Source organism: Homo sapiens, chromosome 12, assembly GCF_000001405.40.
Source record: "Homo sapiens chromosome 12, GRCh38.p14 Primary Assembly".
Classification (NCBI taxonomy): Eukaryota; Metazoa; Chordata; class Mammalia; order Primates; family Hominidae; genus Homo; species Homo sapiens.
The window spans coordinates 122,911,391-122,930,904 of NC_000012.12; the positions used below are offsets into that span (position 1 = coordinate 122,911,391).

At 49.3% G+C, this 19,514-nt stretch overlaps 1 protein-coding gene across 18 annotated transcripts in view, besides 3 other annotated features; it reads right to left on the minus strand.

Moving 5' to 3' along the window:
* Positions 1 to 7,219: 7,219 nt before the first annotated feature.
* ABCB9 (ATP binding cassette subfamily B member 9) overlaps positions 7,220 to 19,514 on the minus strand; it is a 56,505-nt gene continuing 44,210 nt past the window's right edge. For 9 of the 18 annotated variants that reach the window (NM_001437843.1, NM_001438398.1, XM_011538096.3 and 6 more), the window contains one exon: positions 17,602 to 18,781. In NM_001437843.1, the coding sequence (NP_001424772.1) occupies positions 18,521 to 18,781 (261 nt within the window). In that variant the 3' untranslated portion in view covers positions 17,602 to 18,520. Of the gene's footprint in view, positions 8,964 to 9,557; positions 9,654 to 13,133; positions 13,421 to 17,601; positions 18,782 to 19,514 lie in introns of those variants that run through there. The other 9 variants (XR_007063062.1, XR_001748646.3, XR_429086.5 and 6 more) reach the window with 4 other exon arrangements.
* Positions 11,441 to 11,941: an enhancer, noted in NCBI's record as "H3K4me1 hESC enhancer chr12:123407378-123407878 (GRCh37/hg19 assembly coordinates)". NCBI's record gives its function as "activates a minimal SCP1, AML or CMV promoter by ChIP-STARR-seq in primed H9 embryonic stem cells {active_cell/tissue: H9 hESC(primed)}" and the evidence as "EXISTENCE:reporter gene assay evidence [ECO:0000049][PMID:30033119]".
* Positions 11,942 to 12,442: an enhancer, noted in NCBI's record as "H3K4me1 hESC enhancer chr12:123407879-123408379 (GRCh37/hg19 assembly coordinates)". NCBI's record gives its function as "activates a minimal SCP1, AML or CMV promoter by ChIP-STARR-seq in primed H9 embryonic stem cells {active_cell/tissue: H9 hESC(primed)}" and the evidence as "EXISTENCE:reporter gene assay evidence [ECO:0000049][PMID:30033119]".
* Positions 18,528 to 19,028: an enhancer, noted in NCBI's record as "H3K4me1 hESC enhancer chr12:123414465-123414965 (GRCh37/hg19 assembly coordinates)". NCBI's record gives its function as "activates a minimal SCP1, AML or CMV promoter by ChIP-STARR-seq in naive H9 embryonic stem cells {active_cell/tissue: H9 hESC(naive)}" and the evidence as "EXISTENCE:reporter gene assay evidence [ECO:0000049][PMID:30033119]".

The window sequence follows — 19,514 nt, forward strand, 5'->3', positions numbered from 1 at the left end:
TTTGTTGCTGTTGTTTTCTAGAGACAGGGCCTCTCTGTCACCAGGCTGGAGTGCAGTGGTACAATCATATAGCCACTGTACCCTGGAAATCTTGGGCTCAATGGATCCTCCTGCCACAGCCTCCTGAGTAACTGGGACTGCAGGTACATGCCACCATGCCCAGTTAATTTTTTTTTTTTTTTTTTGAGACGGAGTCTTGCTCTGTCGCCCAGGCTGGAGTGCAGTGGCGCGATCTCGGCTCACTGCAAGCTCCGCCTCCCGGGTTCACGCCATTCTCCTCCAGTTAATTTTTTAAAAAAATCTTTTGTAGTATGAGGGTCTTGCCATGTTGCCCCGGCTGTTCTTGAACTCCTGGCCTCAAGCAGTCCTTCTGCCTCGGCCTCCTAAAGCACTGGGATTACAGGCATGAACCTCTGCACCAGCCCCGATGATTACTTTTTTAAACCGTTGAGCATAACTGTTTTAGAATCTGTGTTGGATAATTTCAGCGTCTGAGGTCTGTGTGAGTCTGCTTCTGCTGCCTGTTTCTTCTGGTTCCTGTTCACATGGTCTTGTTTCCCTATGGACCATGTGTGTTGGTTATTGCCCTGGAAAAGTTATTTGTGGGGAATTCTCTGAGGCCTAGAAGGAAGGAGCTCTCCTCTGGAGAAGATGTGCACCTGCTTCTGCCGCACTCTTGGGCACCGCCAATCAGGGTGACCTCAGATCGAGTTCCCAGCTTCAGTTCCCTGTGCCTCCAGCTGATTTGTATCCACGGGCAGGCAGGCCGGTGGCAACAATCTTTCAGGAATTATTTATTCTCCCTCTTGCTTTTCCTTTTTCTGGTTTGTGCGGCGTCAAGGAAAACTTCTTCTTCTTCTTCTTTTTTTTTTTGAAACAGAGTTTCGCTCTTGTTGCCCAGGCTGGAGTGCAATGGCGTGATCTTGGCTCACCGCAACCTCCAGCTCCTGGGTTCAAGCGATTCTCCTGCCTCAGCCTCCCGAATAGCTGGGATTACAGGCATGCGGCACCACATCCAGCTAATTTTGTATTTTTAGTAGAGATGGGGTTTCTCCCATGTTGGTCAGGCTGTTCTCAAACTCCCAACCTCAGGTGATCCACCCACCTCGGCCTCCCAAAGTGCTGGGATTACAGGCATGAGCCACCACGCCCGGCCTCAAGGAAAACTTCTTTACTGTCCCCTGAGTTTGGGGTCAGCGATATCCCTCAATGGTTATCCAAATAAATGTTTAGCAATCAGCTACCTGGAAATACTTGGGAAAAGGTACTTTCCAGGTATTTATTTTCATGAATGCTTTCACCTTTATTTCTCTCAGTATATTCATGATATAGATATTTTGTACATAACAAGGTTAAGTGACTTGCGCATGTTCTATGTAAAACAGAGGCAGAACCAAGGCTCAAAAAGCACCTAGTCCAGCAACCAACTTGAGAGGGGTCATAGGAAGTTCACCAACACCGTGAATGAGAATGGCTTATTCCAGGGGGATTCAGAAAATGAAGTAATCAGAAGGCCTTTTTTTTTTTTTTTTTTTTTTTGAGACAGAGTCTTGCTCTGTCGGCCAGGCTGGAGTGCAGTGGCATGATCTCGGCTCTCTGCAATCTCCGCCTCCCAGGTTCAAGCAATTCTCCTGCCTCAGCCTCCCGAGTAGCTGGGATTACAGGTGTGTGCCACCACCCATGGCTAGTTTTTGTATTTTTAGTAGAGACGGGGTTTCACCATGTTGGCCAGGCTGGTCTCGAACTCCTGACCTCAGGTAATCCGCCCGCCTCAGCCTCCCAAAGTGCTGGGATAACAGGCATGAGCCACCGCGCCTGGCCGAAGAAGGCTTTTTTTTTTTTCCTGGGGGAAGAAAAAGAATCTGGGCTGGGTGTGGTGGCTCATGCCTGTAATCCCAGCACTTTGGGAGGGTGAGGCGGGTGGATCACTTGAAGTCAGAAGTTTGAGACCAGCCTGCCCAACATAGCAAGACCTGTCTCTATTATAAGATTTAAAAAATTAAAATAAATAAAAAAGTACAAAAGAGTACCTGGGAAAGAGTATTAATTTGTAGTACTTACCACTTCCTGTAGTGTAAAAACTCCTGCCATGGTTGATGCCAAATTACCAAGGAGCAGTCACAAAGGTGGAGTTTAGAAGACACGAGTGGACTGGGCATGGTGGCTTACACCTGTAATCACAGCACTTTGGGAGGCCGAGGCAGGAGGATCATGTGAGCCCAGGAGTTTGAGATCAGTCTGGCGAACATGGTAAAACCCCATCTCTACTGAAAATACAAAAATTATCCAGACATAGTGGTGGGTGTCTGTAGTCCCAGACACTCCAGAGGCTGAGGCAGGAGAATCCCTTGAACCCGGGAGGCAGAAGTTGCAGTGAGCCGAGATGGACCACTGCAGTCCAGCCTAGGGGACAGAGCAAGGCTCTGTCTCAAAAAAAACCAATATGGTGAACACTCCTAAGGGGTTCAGGATTTCCCAGGATTTCCCAGGAGCGGAGACATATTTGGGTAGAGAGAGACCTGGATGATGACAGGGAGCTGGCCATGAGAATATTAGGGAAGGGGGTTCCAGGCAGAGGGAAGAGTTATGCACAGGCCCAGAGGTGGGGACAAGGTTGGCATGTTTGACGTAAAGAAAGAAGGTCAGTGTGGCCAGACGCAGTGGCTAATGCCTGTAATCCCAGCTTTGGGAGGCCGAGGCGGGCAGATCACCTGAGGTCAGGAGTTTGAGACCAGCCTGGCCAACATGGTGAAACCCTGTCTCTACTAAAAATACATAAATAGCTAGGTCTAGTGGTGCATGCCTGTAGTCCCAGCTACTCGGGAGGCTGAGGCAGGAGAATCACTTGAACCCAGGAGGCAGAGGTTGCAGTGAGCCAGCATCAGCCATTGCACTTCAGCCTTGGCAATAGAATGAGACTCTGCCTAAAAAAAAAAAAAAAGCAAGGGACACAGTCTGGAAAGTGGGAAGAGTGACTTCACAGTAGAGAAACCTGATCAACATGAATGACCTCAGCGGTGATCAAGGTCAACATCAACAGTGACAGGTCATAATGATTGTGTGTGCGTTTGATAGGATTTGATGAAAATGGCATCCTCCCTAAAACCCATCGCCATGTCTAATCATGAGAAAAATATCAAACAAATCCTAGCAGGGGACAACCTACGAAATCCCTGACCAGTGCTGCTCAAAACAGTCAAAGTCATCAAAACAAAAAGTGTCAGAGAAACTGTCACAGCCAGGAGGAAACTAAGGAGACATGACTACTAAATATAATGTGGGGCCGGGCGCGGGGGCTCACGCCTGTCAGCCCAGCACTCTGGGAGGCCGAGGCGGGTGGATCACCTGAGGCCAGGAGTTCAAGACCAGCCTGGCCAACACAGTGAAACCCCGTCTCTACCAAAAATACAAAAGTTAGCCGGGCGTGGTGGCGTGCACCTGTAATCCTGGCTACTTGGGAGGCTGAGGCAGGAGAATCGCTTGAACCTGAGAGGTGGAGGTTGCAGTGAGCTGAGATGGTGCCACTGCACTTTAGCCTGGGTGACAGAATGAGACCATGTCTCAAAAATAAATAAATAAATGTAATGTAATGTAATGTAATGTAATGTAATGTGGGATTGTAATTACGCGACGGAGTTTTCTTGCCCCTTGCTCAGACAGAGCTGATTTACCAAGACAGTGGTATTGCCATAGAGAAAATGTTTAGTAAACACACTACCAATCAAGCAGAAGATGGGAGTTTACTATTCAAATCAGTCTCCCCAAAAATTTGGAGACCAGGGTTTTTTTAAGTATAATATAGTGGGTAGAGGACTAAGGAACCGGGAATGCTGATTGGTTGGGTCAGGAATGAAATCACAGGAGGTTGAAGCTGTCTTCTTGTCATCCTCAGCTCCTGGGTGGGATCACAAGACCAGTTGAGCCAGTTTACCAGTCTGGGTGGCGCCAATTGGTCCATCAGAATGTAGGGTCTAAGAAACACCTCGAGGGAGCTGTCGTGGCTCAGGCCGGTTGCCCTGGCACTTGGGGAGGCGAGGCTACACGTTCGAGACCAACCTGGTCAACACTGATTAAAAAGAAACATCTCGAACACCAATCTTAGGCTTGATGATAGTGATGTTATCTCTAGGAGCAATTGGGGAGGTTATGAATCTTGTGACTTCTGGCTACACAATTCCTGAACCCTAATTTCTTTTTTTTTATATATACAGGGTCTCGCTCTGTCGCCCAGGCTGGAGTGCACTGACACGATCTCCCCTCACTGCAACCTCCACCTCCTGGGTTCAAGTGATTCTTGTGTCTCAGCCTCCCGAGTAACTGGGATTACAGGTGCACACCGCCACACCTGGCTAATTTTTGTATTTTTAGTAGAGACGTGGTTTCACCATATTGGCCAGGTTGGTCTCAAACTCCCAACCTCAAGTGATCCACCTGCCTCAGCCTCCCAAAGTGCTGGGATTACAGGCATGAGCCACGGTGCCTGGCTCTGAGTCATGATTTCTACCCTTGTGGCTAATTTGTTAGTTTTACAAGGGCAGTTTTGATCTCCGAGCAAGGAAAGGATTGTTTTGGGAAGGGCTATTTTCATCCTTAAGATTAAACTATAAACTAAATTCCTCCCAAAGTTAGCTTGGCCTATGCTCAGGAATGAACAAGGACAGCTTGGAGGTTAGAGGCAAGGTGGAGTCAGCTATGTCAGATTTTTTTTTTTTTTTTGAGACGGAGTCTTGCTCTGTCGCCCAGGCTGGAGTGCAGTGGCGTGATCTCGGCTCACTGCAAGCTCCACCTCCCGGGTTCACGCCATTCTCCTTCCTCAGCCTCCCGAGTAGCATGGACTACAGGCGCCCACCACCATGCCCAGCAAATTTTTTGTTTTTTTAGTAGAGACGGGATTTCACCGTGTTAGCCAGGATGGTCTTGATCTCCTGCCCTCGCGATCTGCCTGCCTCGGCCTCCCAAAGTGCTGGGATTACAGGCGTGAGTCACCACGCCCAGCCAGATTTTTTTTTTTTTTAACTGTCATAATTTGGTAAAGGCAGTTTCAGGATCCTGGAACAGAAAAGGGCGTTGGGGAAAAACTAAGAAAATTGAATAAAGTATAGACTTCTGTGAATAACAATGCATTAATATTGGTTCATTAATTGTGACAAATGCAGCACACTAACATCAGATGCTAATAGCAAGGGAAAATGGCTGAGGGGTATATGAGAATTCTCTGTACTATTTTCACAATTTTTCTGTGAAACTGTTCTAAAAAATAAAGTCGAATAAAGTCGATGTTAAAAAAAAAAAAAAAAAAAAGAAGGCTGCCGTGTGCAGAATGAATAAGGAGAGCCGGGCAGCCCTGCAGGTGCTAAGGTAGCTTGGATTCGGGTGGGGCAAAGGGATCGGGAAATAGACTCCAACACAGGAAGTCCAGCCGACGCTCCGACAGGTCACGGGGAAAGGGAGGAGTCAGGTACGACACTGAGATTTTTCAATTTAAGCAACCAGCATACGGTGCCATTAACTCAGACTAAGAGGAAAACAAGTTTGGGAGAAAATCTCAAGGCTTCATTTCCACCATGATGAGTCTGAGATGAGTCAGAAAGGAACCATCAGGCCAGGCACGGTGACTCACGCCTGTAATCCCAGCACTTTGGGAAGCCGAGGCAGGTGGATCATTTGAGGTCAGGAGTTCGAGACCAGCCTGACCAACATGGTGAAACCCCATCTCTACTGAAAATACAAAAATTAGCTGGGCAGGGTGACATATGCCTGTAATCCCAGCTATTTGTGTGGCTAAGGCATGAGAATTGCTTGAACCCAGGAGGCAGAAGTTGCAGTGAGCCGAGATTGCACCACTGCACTCCAGCCTGGGCGACAGAACAAGACCCTGTCTCAAAAAAAAAAAAAAAAAAAAAAAAAAAAAAGAGAGAGAGAGAGAAAAGAAAAGCACCTACTGTGAGCAGGGAGCACACCTGCTACATGAGGACACAGGTACCAGCCTTTAAGAAATTCCTAGAGTGTTTGAAGAGCAAACAACATGCTAGAAAAGCCCACACAGGCCAAATAAATGAAGATGGAGGAGACCAGCTATGGTAGTGAGAAATCAGGGGAGACTGCCTGGTGGCAGTGGGGCATGAAGGATGTCCAATCCAGATGTCCCCAAAGCAGCCATCTTCCTGTTCTGGAGAAGCCTGTCCTCAGCCAGAGCCAGCACACATCAGTCACCACTACGGTCTCATGGCCTCCAGCCAGGCTCCAGTTTGAAAAGAATCTTCCCTTTCTTTAGGCCATGGATTGTCCAGAAAAGCCAGATCATTAAGGACCAGAGGTAAGGAATTTATCTGGCAGCTGACCAGGCCTTGTCAACACAGGGCCTCGGGCAGCGCTTGTGTAACTGCCCTGAATTAGTTCTTCCCAGCCAGGGCGTGCCCAGCATGGACCTGGGTCCAGGGGAGGTAAAGGACCTCTATTGCATGTCTGTGTGGGCCTGTGCTGCTGCCCCGGGGCCCTTGCTGGCCACTGCTTGTTGCTGTATGCAGAGCAGAAAATTCCTTGAAGCATTTCTCCATGCACCCTCCACTCGCAAGGTTCCTTCAGCTATAAATAACAGCAGGACATGCTGAATAAGGGTTGCAGAAGGTTTGGCGATGAGACCGTGGCTGCAGCCTCTGCAGGCAGCATTTCCTTATCTACAGAGTGGGGTGAGCCCAGGCCTGGCTGCCCGGGGTGTTGGGGGAGCCACTTCTCTGGGTCCTCGTCCAGTACCTTCTCCACACTGAGCCCAAGGATCAATCAGGTCACGCCCTGATCAGAACCCTTCAATGCCCCCAGTTTTCATGAAATAAAAGTCAACTACCTCGCCATGGCCCCAGGAGCCCTCGCCTTCCTGTCCCCTCCTCCTTCCTCCCTTGGGTGCCCCCCACTCTGTCCCCTGGCCGTGTCCTGCTTGGCAGATGTCCCACCTCTTGCTGTCTGGAGGTCTCTGTACTTCACAATCCTTTGTGGGATCCATCTCCTCCCCTACTTATCTTTTTTTTTTTTCCTTGATGAGGTGAAATTCACATGACATGCACTTAACCTTTTTTTCTTTTTTATTTTTGAGACAGAGTCTCAATCTGTCACCCAGGCTGAAGTGCAGTGGTACAATCATGGCTCACTCCAGCCTCAAACTCCTGGGCCCAGCAATCATCCCCCCTCAGTCTGTGAAGTAACTGGGACTATAGGCACAGGCCACCACGCACGACTAATATTTTATTTTTTGTAGAGATGGGGTCTCCCTATGTTGCCCAGGCTGGTCTCGAACTCCTGGGCTCAAGCGATCCTCCCACTTCGGCCTCCTAAAGTGCTGGGATTACAGGCATGAGCCATTGCACCTGGCCACTTACCCATTTTAAAGTGTACAAATGCATTGGTATTAAATGTATTCACAATATTGTGCAAACACCAGGTCTCTCCAGCTTCCAAACTTTCTCATCACCCTGTAAAAAACATCTTGTATCCAGCAAGCAGTCACTCCCCATTCCTCCCTCCCCATGCCCTGGTAACCTCTAATCTGCTTTCTATCCCTATAGATTTGCTTCTTCTGAATATATCATGTAAAAAGAATCATACCATAGGTGACCTTCCCTGCCTGGCATCTTTCATTTGCATAATGCTTCTAAGGACCATCTATGTTATAGCATGTACCAGCACTTCATTCCTTTCTACAGCTGAATCATATCCCACAGTATGTGCATACCACGGTTTGCAGTTTGTTTATCCATTCATACATTGGATTGTTTGCACTTTTTGGCTTTATTTTATTATTTTTAGAGACGAGGTCTCACTCTGTCATCCAGGCTGGAGTGCAGTGGCACCACCATGGTTCGTTGCAGCCTCAACCTCCTTGAGCTCAAAGGATCCTCCTGCCTCAGCCACACAAGTAGCTGGGACGACCGGTATGCACTACCACGCCTGGCTGATTTTTAAATTTTTGTAGGGATGGGGTCCCACTATGTTGCCCAGGCTGTTCTCAAACTCCTGGCTTCAAGCAATCCTCCCGCCTCAGCCTCCCAAAGTGCTGGGATTACAACTGTGAGCCACTGTGCCCAGGTCCATGTTGAGCTTTTTGAGGAAGTGCCAGACTGTGGTTGGGATCATTCTTTCCTCTAGATACCCAAAGCTGGTACCTCCTTGTCATTCAGGGCTCAGCTCCCATATCACCTCCCCAGACCACCCCAGCTCAAACAGTGCTCCTCTCCCAAGTCACTCTCTTGTCTGCTGCCATCTTTTCACCATCTGGAGTTTATTACCCAGTAGGATGTAGGTGATCTCGGACCTCTTAGTCTCCACTGTGACCCACAACCTAGCACAGTTTCTGGTAGACGGAGGTTCTCAATAAATGCTTACTGAATGACTGATCTCAGGTAGTCAAAGGTAAAGAGCTGTAATAATGTGAGGCACTGTCACTGTCACCTTAGGTCGCTGTTAGGACCTCCCCCTGGGTGACTCATCTGTTTGTTTGTTTATTTATTTATTTATTTATTTATTTATTTATTTATTTATTTTAGATGGAGTCTCACTCTGTCGTCCAGGCTGGAGTTCAGAGGCACAATCTCGGCTCACTGCCACCTCTGCCTCCCGGGTTCAAGTGATTCTCCTGCCTCAGCCTCCCCACCACACCTGGCTAATTTTTGTGTTTTTAGTAGAGATGAGTTTTCACCATGTTGGCCAGGCTGGTCTCCAACTCCTGACCTCAAGTGGTCCGCCTGCCTCGGCCTCCCAAAGTGCTGGGATTACAGGCATGAGCCACCACGCCCAGCCAACTCACCTGTTTAAATGGTCAACTTCCTCCTCTCTGAGGAAAGAATAAAAACCAGGAAAGAGAAACCATTGGCGATGCTTCTTTCTCAGCCCTTTCCTGTTAGTGACTCAGCACAGGTATCTCCTTCACTATCCCCAGCTCCTGAGGTGCAACAAGCAGCCCTTAGTGACAACTGCAAAGGAAAAAAAAAAAAAAAAGGCAAAGGTGGAAAATAATTTGGGTGGAGATTAGATAAGCCTATAAACCTGTCCCCAGTCTAGGGAAAAGGTTCAGGGCTCTGGTCAGGGTTCGGGCTGCCTGTGTTCAGTTCCCAGTGCTGTGCCACTTAATTTTTGCAGGTTACTTAACCTCATTTTTCTTTTTTGAAAAAACTGCATTAACCGTAGTAGCTGCTTCATAGACTTGTTGTGAGGATTAAAAGCGTTAAAGTCACATAAAGTGGGCCAGGCATAGTGGCTCACACCTGTAATCCCAGTACTTTGGGAGGCCAAGGTGGGAGGATCACTTGAGGTCAGGACTTTGAGACCAGCCTGGGTGACATGGTGAAACCCCGTTTCTACAAAAAATACAAAAAAAAAAAATTTTGCCAGGCATGGTGGCACATGCCTGTAGTCCCAGCTACTTGGGAGGGTGAGGTGGGAGGCTCACTGGAGTCTGGGAGGCAGATGTTGCAGTGAGGTGAGATCGTACCACTGCACTCCAGCCTGGGCAACAGAGTGAGACCCCTGTCTTAAAAAAAAAATCACATAAAGCGCATAGACTCGTGTTTGCTGCACTGAAAATGTTTTATACCTGAATGGTTATCATTGTCATCATCATCAATCCATCTCGGTTCTGATATCTGCAGGCTGGTCATTCAGATCTAAGAAGATAATAAATATGCTTGCTAAATGTCAAAGGAAACATTGGGAGTCTGCTTAATGCCTCTGGATCATGCAATTTAAAATGGTTGGCTGGGCGTGATGGGGCACACCTGTAATCCCAGCACTTTGGGAGGCCGAGGCAGAAGGATCGCTTGAAACTAGGAATGTAAGACCAGCCTAGGCAACATAACCACAACTCTGTCTCTACAGAAAATCTAAAAATTAGCCAGGCATGGTGGCACAGGCTGTAGTCCCAGCTATTTAGGAGCCTGAGGCAGAAGGATCAGTTGAGCCCAGAAGTTCAAGGCTGAAGTGAGCTATGATGGCACCACTGCACTCCAGGCTAGGCAACAGAGCAAGACCCTGTCTCTAAAAAATAACAATAATAAATAAATGCAATGGTTAATGTTATGTTATGTGTATTTTACCACAATTTAAAAAGCAAACATTGGCCGAGGACAGTGGCTCACGTCTGTAATCCCAGCACTTTGGGAGAGCGAGGCAGGTGGATCACCTGATGTCAGGAGTTCGAGACCAGCCTGGCCAACATGATGAAACTCCATCTCTATTAAAAATACAAAAATCAGCTGGGTGTGGTGGCACATGCCTGTAATCCCAGCTACTCGGGAGGCTGAGGCAGGAGAATCGCTTGAATATGGGAGGCGGGGTTTGCAGTGAGCGGAGATCGCGCCACTGCACTCTACCCTGGGAGACAGAGACTCTGTCTCAAAACAAAACAAAAAGCAAACATTAAAGAATTAACCTCCTTCTGAGCTCCCTCTGCCAAAAAAAAAATTTAAAAAATTGTCCGTATTATTATTTGAAATAACAGCTTCCTTACCTGGGGCCAGAAACAAATGGTCAGCAGCAATGGCTGTGTCAGTGCTGGGTTCCAGAGTTTCTTCTCTGTGGAACTGTCTAGAATGCCAGGCCCCTGTTTCAGGCTGGGCTCATTGAATAGAGGCGGCTAGGGAGGGAGGAGGTGGAGACGCCCGGCCGGCCGCTCAGGTCTGGGCCAGGTTCTCAGCCGGATGCACTGGCTTGCTGTTGGGTGGCTTAACGACTGCTATTTTCAGTCAACAGAAGTCAGAACAGCTGCTTTCCATTTCTCCCAGGAAGTCTTCCTGGGCCACAGCAGCACTTATCATGCCAGGGTTTGTTTAGTTTGTTTACAGTGTTCCCTCTCCTACCCCTGAAGAAAATTCTAGTATTCAGAAATGTACATAGAACAATATAACAAACACATGGTACCCACCGCTCAGGACTAGCCATTGCTAACGATTTCCTCTCTTTGCTTTGAGTCTTTTTAATTTTTTTATTTTTATTTTTTAGAAATATGGACTTCATTGTTTTGAGATGGAGTCTCACTCTGTTGCCCAGGCTGGAGTGCAGTGGCACGATCTTAGCTCATTGCAACCTCCGCCTCCCGGGTTCAAGTGATTCTCCTGCCTCAGCTTCCCGAGTAGCTGGGACTACAGGCATGTGCCACCACGCCCGGCTAATTTTTGTATTTTTAGTAGAGATGGGTTTTGCCATGCTGGCCAAGATGGTCTCGAACTCCTGGCCTCAAGTGTTCCGCTCACCTTGGCCTCCCAAAGTGCTGGGATTACAGGTGTGAGCCACTGCACCCAGCCAAGTCTATTTTTATTCTTAAAGAAGTAAGGTATTGCATATCTTCATGCTTTTGTCTTCAATACCCAGACAAACTCCAACATGAATTGGTTGTGTAGCCTTCCAATCTATTATTATTATTATTTTATTGTTTAGAGAGAAGGTCTCGCTCTATCACCCGGGCTGGAGTGCAGTGGCACAATTATGGGCTCACTGCAGCCTTGAATTCCTGGGCTTAAGCGATTTTCCCATCCCAGCCTTCGGAGTAGCTGAGACTATAGGCACACGCCACTACACCTGGCTAATTTTTCTTCTTCTTTTTTTTAAAGTTTTTAGTAGAGATGGGGTCTCACTATGTTGCCCAGGCTGGTCTTGAACTCCTAGACTCAAGTGATCCACCTGCCTCAGCCTCCCAAAGTACTGGGACTACAGTTGTGAGCCACAGTGCTCGGCATTTTTTTTCTTAAGACAGGGTCTCACTCTGTCGCCCAGGCTGGAGTGCAGTGGCGCCATCATGGCTCACTGCTGCCTCAACCTCCCAGGCTCAAGCAATCCTCCCGTTTCAGGCTCCTGAGGAGCTGAAACTACAGGCGTGCACCACTGTGTCCTGCCTTACACCAGTACTTCTTATTTATTTATTTATTTTTTTTGAGACGGAGTCTCGCTCTGTCGCCCAGGCTGGAGTGCAGTGGCGCGACCTCCACGCACTGCAAGCTCCGCCTCCCGGGTTCACGCCATTCTCCTGCTCAGCCTCCCGAGTAGCTGGGACTACAGGCACCCGCCACCACGCCCGGCTAATTTTTTTTTGTATTTTTAGTAGAGACGGGGTTTCACTGTGTTAGCCAGGATGGTCTCCATCTCCTGACCTCGTGATCCGCCCGCCTTGGCCTCCCAAAGTGCTGGGATTACAGACATGAGCCAGGGCGCCCAGCCACACTGATACTTACATTGGCTAATTTTTAATTCTTAATTGTTAATCCCAGTGGAGCAACGGTCCTTAACTCAGGGCCCCCTGACAGAGGAATTGTAAAATACCACACGTTTCCCACAAGTTGCATACAATGCTTTATGTGCATGGGTATTTTTCTGAGGAGAGTTCCTAGAATTTTCATCAAATTTCCCAAGAAATTTATGACCCCAAAAGTTCTGGAACAAAACCCTGAAGAGCCAGGGCCATCGGGCTTAACCCTCCTCTGTGCTGTTTCCGTTTTCTCAGGTGTGGCTTTTGAACCTGCCGACACAGAGTGAGGTTGACACAGACCAGTCCAGTCGACAGGGGAGCTGCAGCAGATAGCAGGGGGCATGGGGAAGGGGCTCTGCCTCGCAAGGTGCTTTGTGCACATCTTCACCCTGAAGTCATCACCAGGGTCCCTGTGGGCTCCTAGGACCCCAAGTCACTTCAGAGACCTCTCATGGCTCAGCAGCTGCCTCAGGCATTGACTTGGGCTGAGTCTGCCATCTTCCTGGGATTGGGGTCGTCTTTAGCCCTGGCAAGTTGGAAACTGAAATACACTCTCCAGACGAAGGCAGCAGCAGGGAGTGTGGGGACCTGGGTTCCAGCCTTGGCCATTCTGCTAAATACATTTATAACCCTGCAGTCATTTCTTTTCTCTGGGCCTCAGTTTCCCTGTCTGTTAAATGAGGTGATTGGACTGTGTTCATTGTTTTCACACTATGTTACGGCATATCGAAGAGTTCAATCATTCCTTTCTTTTTCAAATTTTGTAGAGACAGGGTCATGCTCTGTTGCCCAGGCTGCAGTGCAGTGGCACGATCATAGCCCATGGCAGCCTCAAACTCGTGGACTCAAGTGATCCTCCCACCTAAGCCTCCCGAGTAGCTGGAATTACAGACATGGGCCTCTATGCTCAGCTCAAACATTTCTTTAATGGCTGTTTACTGAGCACATACTATGTGTCAGCCACTGTTCTAGGCACTGGGGAATACAGCAGTGATGAAGACAAACTCTAATGTGGGAAAGAAACAATGACAGAGTAAACTAAGTCCTGGCGCCAGGACTAAGCCAGCCCTGGGGTGCCGTGCTCCTCTTCATTCTCTCTCATCCCTGCTTGTTTTCCTCATCTGTCTCTCTGGCCAACTGTGCTGTTCCCAAAGCCCTCGACTGCAATTACTTTCTCCTGGTTTACCCAGCACACTGTGTGGGACAGAAGGAGGACAGTGACATTTGCTAAATTAATTGTAACAGAAAAAAGTCAGCTTTAAAAGTCATAACTCTCCACACCCACCAGGATGGTGACAATTTTATATTGTTTGTTTTTGAGACAGAGTCTCACTCTGTCACCCAGGCTGGAGTGCAGTGGCATGATACCAGCTCACCACAACCTCCACCTTCCGAGTTCAAGCAATCCTCCCACTTCAGCCTCATGAACAGCTGAGACCACAGGTGTGTGCCACCATGCCCGGCTAGCAGTTTTTGGATTTTTTAGTAGAGATGAGGTTTCACCACGTTGCCCAGGCTGGTCTTGAACTCGTGGGCTCAAGCGATCTGCCTGCCTCAGCCTCCCAAAGTGCTGGGATTACAGATGTGAGCCACTGTTCCCGGCCCTGGATGGTGATAATTAAAAACAAAAACAAAACCAGAAAATAACAAGTGTTGGTGAGGATGTGGGGAAATTGCAACCCTCATGGATTGCTGGTGGGAATGCAAAATGGTGCAGCCGCTGTGGAAGACAGTCTGGCAGTTCCTCAAAACGTTGAGCACAGAGTTCTCATGGGACCCAGCAATTCCACTCCCAGGCATCTACCCAAGAGAGGCGAAAGCAAACTCCCACAAAAAAAACATGAATGTTGGGCCGGGCGCGGTGGCTCATGCCTGTAATCCTAGCACTTTGGGAGGCCGAGATGGGTGGATCACGAGGTCAAGAGATTGAGACCATTCTGGCTAACGCGGTGAAACCCCGTCTCTACTAAAAACGCAAAAAATTACCTGGGTGTGGCGGTGGGCGCCTCTAGTCGCAGCTACTCGGGCGGCTGAGGCAGGAGAATGGCATGAACCCGGGAGGCGGAGCTTGCAGTGAGCCGAGATTGCATCACCGCACTCCAACCTGGGCGACAGAGCGAGACTCCGTCTCAAACAACAACAACAACAACAAAACATGAATGTTCCCACTATTAGCAGCACTAATAGCAGTACTATTCACAATAGCCCAAAGGTGGAAACAGCCCAAATATCTATCAACAGATGAATGGATAAACAAAATGTGGCATAGCCATACAATAGGATATCATTCAGCCATGAAAAGGAATAAAGTGCTGATTCATGCCACAACATGGTTGGACCTTGTACACATGATGAGAGAAGCCAGACACGAAAGGCCACGTAGTATAGGGTTCCATGTACATGAAAAGGCCAGAGGGGCCAATCTGCAGAGCCAGATTTTAGAATGCTGGCGGCCAGGGGCTGTGTGGAGGAAGAATTGGGGAGTGACTGTTAATGGGTATAGGGTTTTCTGTTAGGGTGATGAAAATGTCCTGGAATTAGATAATGATGATGGTTACACAACATCATAAGTGTACTAGATGTCACTAATGATAAGTTTTATATTGTCTGCATGTTGCTGCAATAAAAACAATTTTAAAAACATTAGGCTGGGCGCAGTGGCTCACACCTCTAATCTCAGCACTTTGGGAGGCCGAGGCAGGTGGATTACTTGAAGCCAGGAGTTCAAGACCAGCCTGGCCAACATGGTGAAACACTGTCTCTACTAAAAACACAAAAAAATTAGCTGGGTGTGGTGGCAGGCGCCTGTAGTCCCAGCTACTCAAAAGACTGAGGCAGGAGAATCGCTTGAACCAGGGAGGCAGAGGTTGCAGCGAGCTAAGATTGTGCCACTGCACTCCAGCCTGGATGACAGAGAGAGATCCTGTCTCAAAAACTAAAACAAAAAACCCTGCCAAAATAAAACAAACAAAAGAAAACATTATATCTCTAGCTGGGCGTGGTGGCTCATGCCTATAAGCTCAACACTTTGGGAGGCCAAGGTGGGAGGATTGATTGAGGCCAGGGGTTTGAGACCAGCCTGTTCAACAAAGCAAGGCCTGTCTCTACAAAAAAAAAAAAAGCAAAAGAAAAAATTAGCTGGGCATGGCGATGTGCACCTGTAGCCCCAGCTACTCTGAAGGCTGAGGTGGGAGGATCACTTGAGCCCAGAAGGTTGAGGCTACAGTGAGCTGTGATAGCACCTCTGCACTCCAGTCTGGGCAATAGAGCAAGAACCTGTCTCTAAAAACAAACAAACAAACAAACAAAAACACTCCTATCTTAAATGTAATGTGGGACACTGGAACAGAAAGAGGACATTAGTAAGAAAACTAGTGACACACAAATACAGCTTGCAGTTTCACTGATAGTGACATGCTATGTTGGTTTCCTAATTGTGACAAATGTACCCCAGTACTGTGGGATTTTAAGAGAAGAGAAACTGTGAGGGGTGGGGCATAAGGGAACTTTCTGTATTGTTTTGTGACTTTTCTGTAAATCTAAAATTATTTCAAAATTAAACTTTTTTTTTTTTTGAGACAGTCTCGCTCTGTCACCCAGGCTGGAGTGCAGTGACGTGATCTCGGCTCACTGAAACCTCTGCCTCCCGGATTCAAGCAATTCTCCTGCCTCAGCCTCCCGAGTAGCTGGGACTACAGGCGTGTGCCAACACGCCCGGCTAATTTTTGTATTTTTAGTAGAGACAGGGTTTTACCATGTTGGCCAGGCTGGTCTTGAACTCCTGACCTCGTGATCCACCCACCTTGGCCTCCCAAAGTGCTGGGATTACAGGCATGAGCCACTGCATCTGGCCTAAACATTACTTTTTTAAAACTCCTATGTACCTCCTAAAAAGAAGGTAATTCGGTCTCTGGAAGGTTCTTTTGTCTGCCTATGGCGCACTTTTGGGTGTGGGTTTACAAATCAAGGCACTGGAGCTAACTCCATAGGAGAGGGAGAAGAATCTGGAATTCTCAGCCTGAAAGTGCAGGGATGAGAAGAGACAGGCAGATGGGAGAGGAGCTTAGACTGGAACGGGGCTGGGCTGGGGCCAGGAAGCCCCTTGCGAGGGACTTTGCAGAACAGGAATGTCCAACACTGACGCTACAAACTAGAGATGCACAGGCTGGAGACCACCTCTACACATGTGCTTGTTGGTCCTCGGTTTTGTCAAAATAATTTGAGCCAATACATAAAAAACAGCTGATCTCACATGAAAATTGGAATTTCCAACTTCTCTGGAAACATCTGAAGATATGCTAAGTCTCTGAAAACTTAACCCCCTCTGCTTCCTAAAATCAAAAAGGAAGTCCTGAGGTTAACTTCAACCAAGGTTGCAAGTTCCCCTCTGTAGCAGGCTGAGTGGTGGCCCCCAAAAGCTTCCCTTGTCAAACCCCTGAACCTGTGAAGTGACCGTATTTGGAAAAAAGGGTCTTTGCAGATGCAAAGGACCGCTAGATGAGATCAGCCCGGATTATCTAGGTGGCCTCTAAATCCAATGACAAGTGCTTTTATAAGAGAAAGACAAGGCTGGCCAGGCGCGGTGGCTCACGCCTATAATCCCAGCACTTAGGGAGGCCAAGGTGGGCAGGCCATCTGAGGTTAGGAGTTTGAGACCAGCCTGGCCAACACAGTGAAACCCATCTTTACTAAAAATACAAAAATGAGCCGGGTGTGGTGGTGGGTGCCTGTAGTCCCAGTTACTCAGGAGGCTGAGGCAGGAGAATCGCTTGAACTCGGGAGGTGGAGGTTGTAGTAAGCCAAGATTGTGCCACTGCACTCCAATCTGGGTGACAGAGCAAGGCTCTGTCTCAAAAAAAAAAAAAAAAATTGAAATACTACTCTACCAGTTGGCACAGAGCCCTCCTCCTGGGACCCCAGAGTTCTTCACAATTCAGCAAGTAAGAATAACCACCGCAGGGGTCTTCCTGTGTCCGGGCCCAAACCTCCCTGCTGATTGAGCTGTCCTCCTGGGTAATATTTCTTTACTGCATGGATTGGGGTGGGTGTCGGGTGCCTGGGCCCCGATGGAAAAGAACAGGTGGCATTTGTTGGGCCTCAGTTCAGCTGTCCCGGGAAGCACAGAGGCCCCTGGGATTTCAAGGCAACGTCTCTATCCCCCTGCGCAATCCCCGTGGAGACAGGCAGACAGGAATGTCTACACCAGAGACCCTGGGATGGGAGGAGTGCAGATGGGGCTCCCAGACACAGGGGGAGGCCCTGGACCACCCAAAGTCTCTCTGCAACTCCACCAGAGAGGGCTGAGAGGAGAGCCGTGGTCTGGTGGAAAAACCTAACTGGGCGATGAGGCAGTTGGCCCAAGTAGAAGTCAGAGGTTAGGGGTAAGAGGTAGTACACTTTATTGACCGGGTTCTCTCAACATGTTGCAACCTCTGGCAAAGCCAGATCCTGGGCTTTGCCACCATCCCATCCACCAAAGACAGAAGAGAATGCATCTCATGAACATCCACGTGGCCTCCAGACAGCAGAGCACAGGGGCGGGTGTGGGGAGGGAGGCTGCCAGCCAGGGGTGGGTGGACGAGGGGCGAAAGCGCTGGGTGCCGGGCTGGGGGCACCCCTGAGGCCCCTCCAGACCTGGCCAGCCCCTCACTCCCCCAGTTGAGGTTTCGTGTGGTTCACAGTGAGACTGGCTTAGATTGGCAGCGGGCGATGGCAGACAGATGCCCTCCACGCTCCCTACCCGCCCTGGCCAGACTCACAGAGCTGGCAAGAGGGAGAGACGGAAAATCCCGTTCCCCGTGTCTCCCTCCGGGACAGGGAAGCCCCTTCTCTGGAGGGGTAAAGGGGAGAGGCCTAGTCTCTGGACATCCCCCAGGCTACTAAGGAAGGGCCATTCACTCCTGGCTCAGAAGTTTCTAGAACATCTTGGTGAAAGTGCCCGCCATTACTCCCAATTAGAAAAAGGTTTTTGAAATCTAGGAGTTGACTGGGGTGCCTCAAACCAAACAGTAAAAACCCTGGTAAGACCTAGGTTTAAAAAGGCAGCTCTACCTTTGCTTAGGAGGCTAGGGAGGTCCGTGAAGGCGTTGGCTCAGGGCAGCAGGGGTAAGGAGTGCCCTGGGAATGGGGCAGGGACCAGGGGCAAGATGCAGGAAGCGGTGATCCATGGGACATGGCAGGTCGTCTTTCAGTGCTGCAGGCCTGGGCTCGGAGGGCAGCTGGGGGCCTCCGTGGGCACATCTGCCAGGCAGGCACCGGGTCCTCTGCCCCACCGGGAGAAGCAGGGGCCCCCCATCAGGCCTTGTGACTGCCGTTGGCTACAGGCTCGTTGTGGCCAGCTGTGAAGTCTGCGGCGGGCTGAAGCCCCAGCATCTGCCGCTGCACCAGCTTGGCGTAGAGGCCGCCCTGGGCCAGCAGCTGCTGGTGGGTGCCCTGCTGCACTACGCGGCCCTTGTCCAGCACCACAATGAGGTGCGCGTGCTCCACGGTGCTCAGCCGGTGCGCGATGATGAGTACCGTGTGCTTCTGCAGGTTGCCATGGATGGCCTGCTGGATCTGCGGGGACAGTGGGGGCCTGGCTTGCATGGCACGGACGCCCCACCCGCAACCGTGCTTCATGCCACGGCCTATGGGCTGATGCTTAACCTCTCTGAGGCTCAGTTCACAAACGATGGCCAGCTTCCTGGGTTTTTCTTAAAGGGAGACAGCTCAGGGCCAGACACAATGAGGCACCTGGTGAATGGGGGATCAGCTCTACCCTGGCCCTCCAGTCTTCTGGTCCTTCCCTTCCCCCTCCTTTTTTTTTTTTTTTTTTTTTAAGTCTTGCTGTCACCCAGGCTGGAGTGCGGTGGTGCGATCTCAGCTCACTGCAACCTCTGCCTCGTGGGTTCAATCGAGTCTCACGCCTCAGCTTCCCAAGTAGCTAGGGGATTACAGGTGCCCGCCACCATACCCAGCTAATTTTTGTATTTTTAGTAGAGACAGGGTTTCACCATGTTGGCCAGACTGGTCTCGAACACCTGACTTTGTGATCCGCCTGGCCTCGGCCTCCCAAAGTGCTGGGATTACAGGTGTGAGCCACCGCGCCTGGCCTTCCTTGTTTCTTATCTGCCTTCCCCACTGGAATGGAAACACCATGGGGACAAGGGTCTTTGTCTAGTTAGCCCACGATAACCCCAGAATGGTGCCTGGTGCCTGGTGCCTGAGAAGAGCTCAGTAACTCTCTGTGTAACAAATGAATCAATCCGCGCATAGACTGAGGTTGCTAGCCATCTGCAAATACATGACT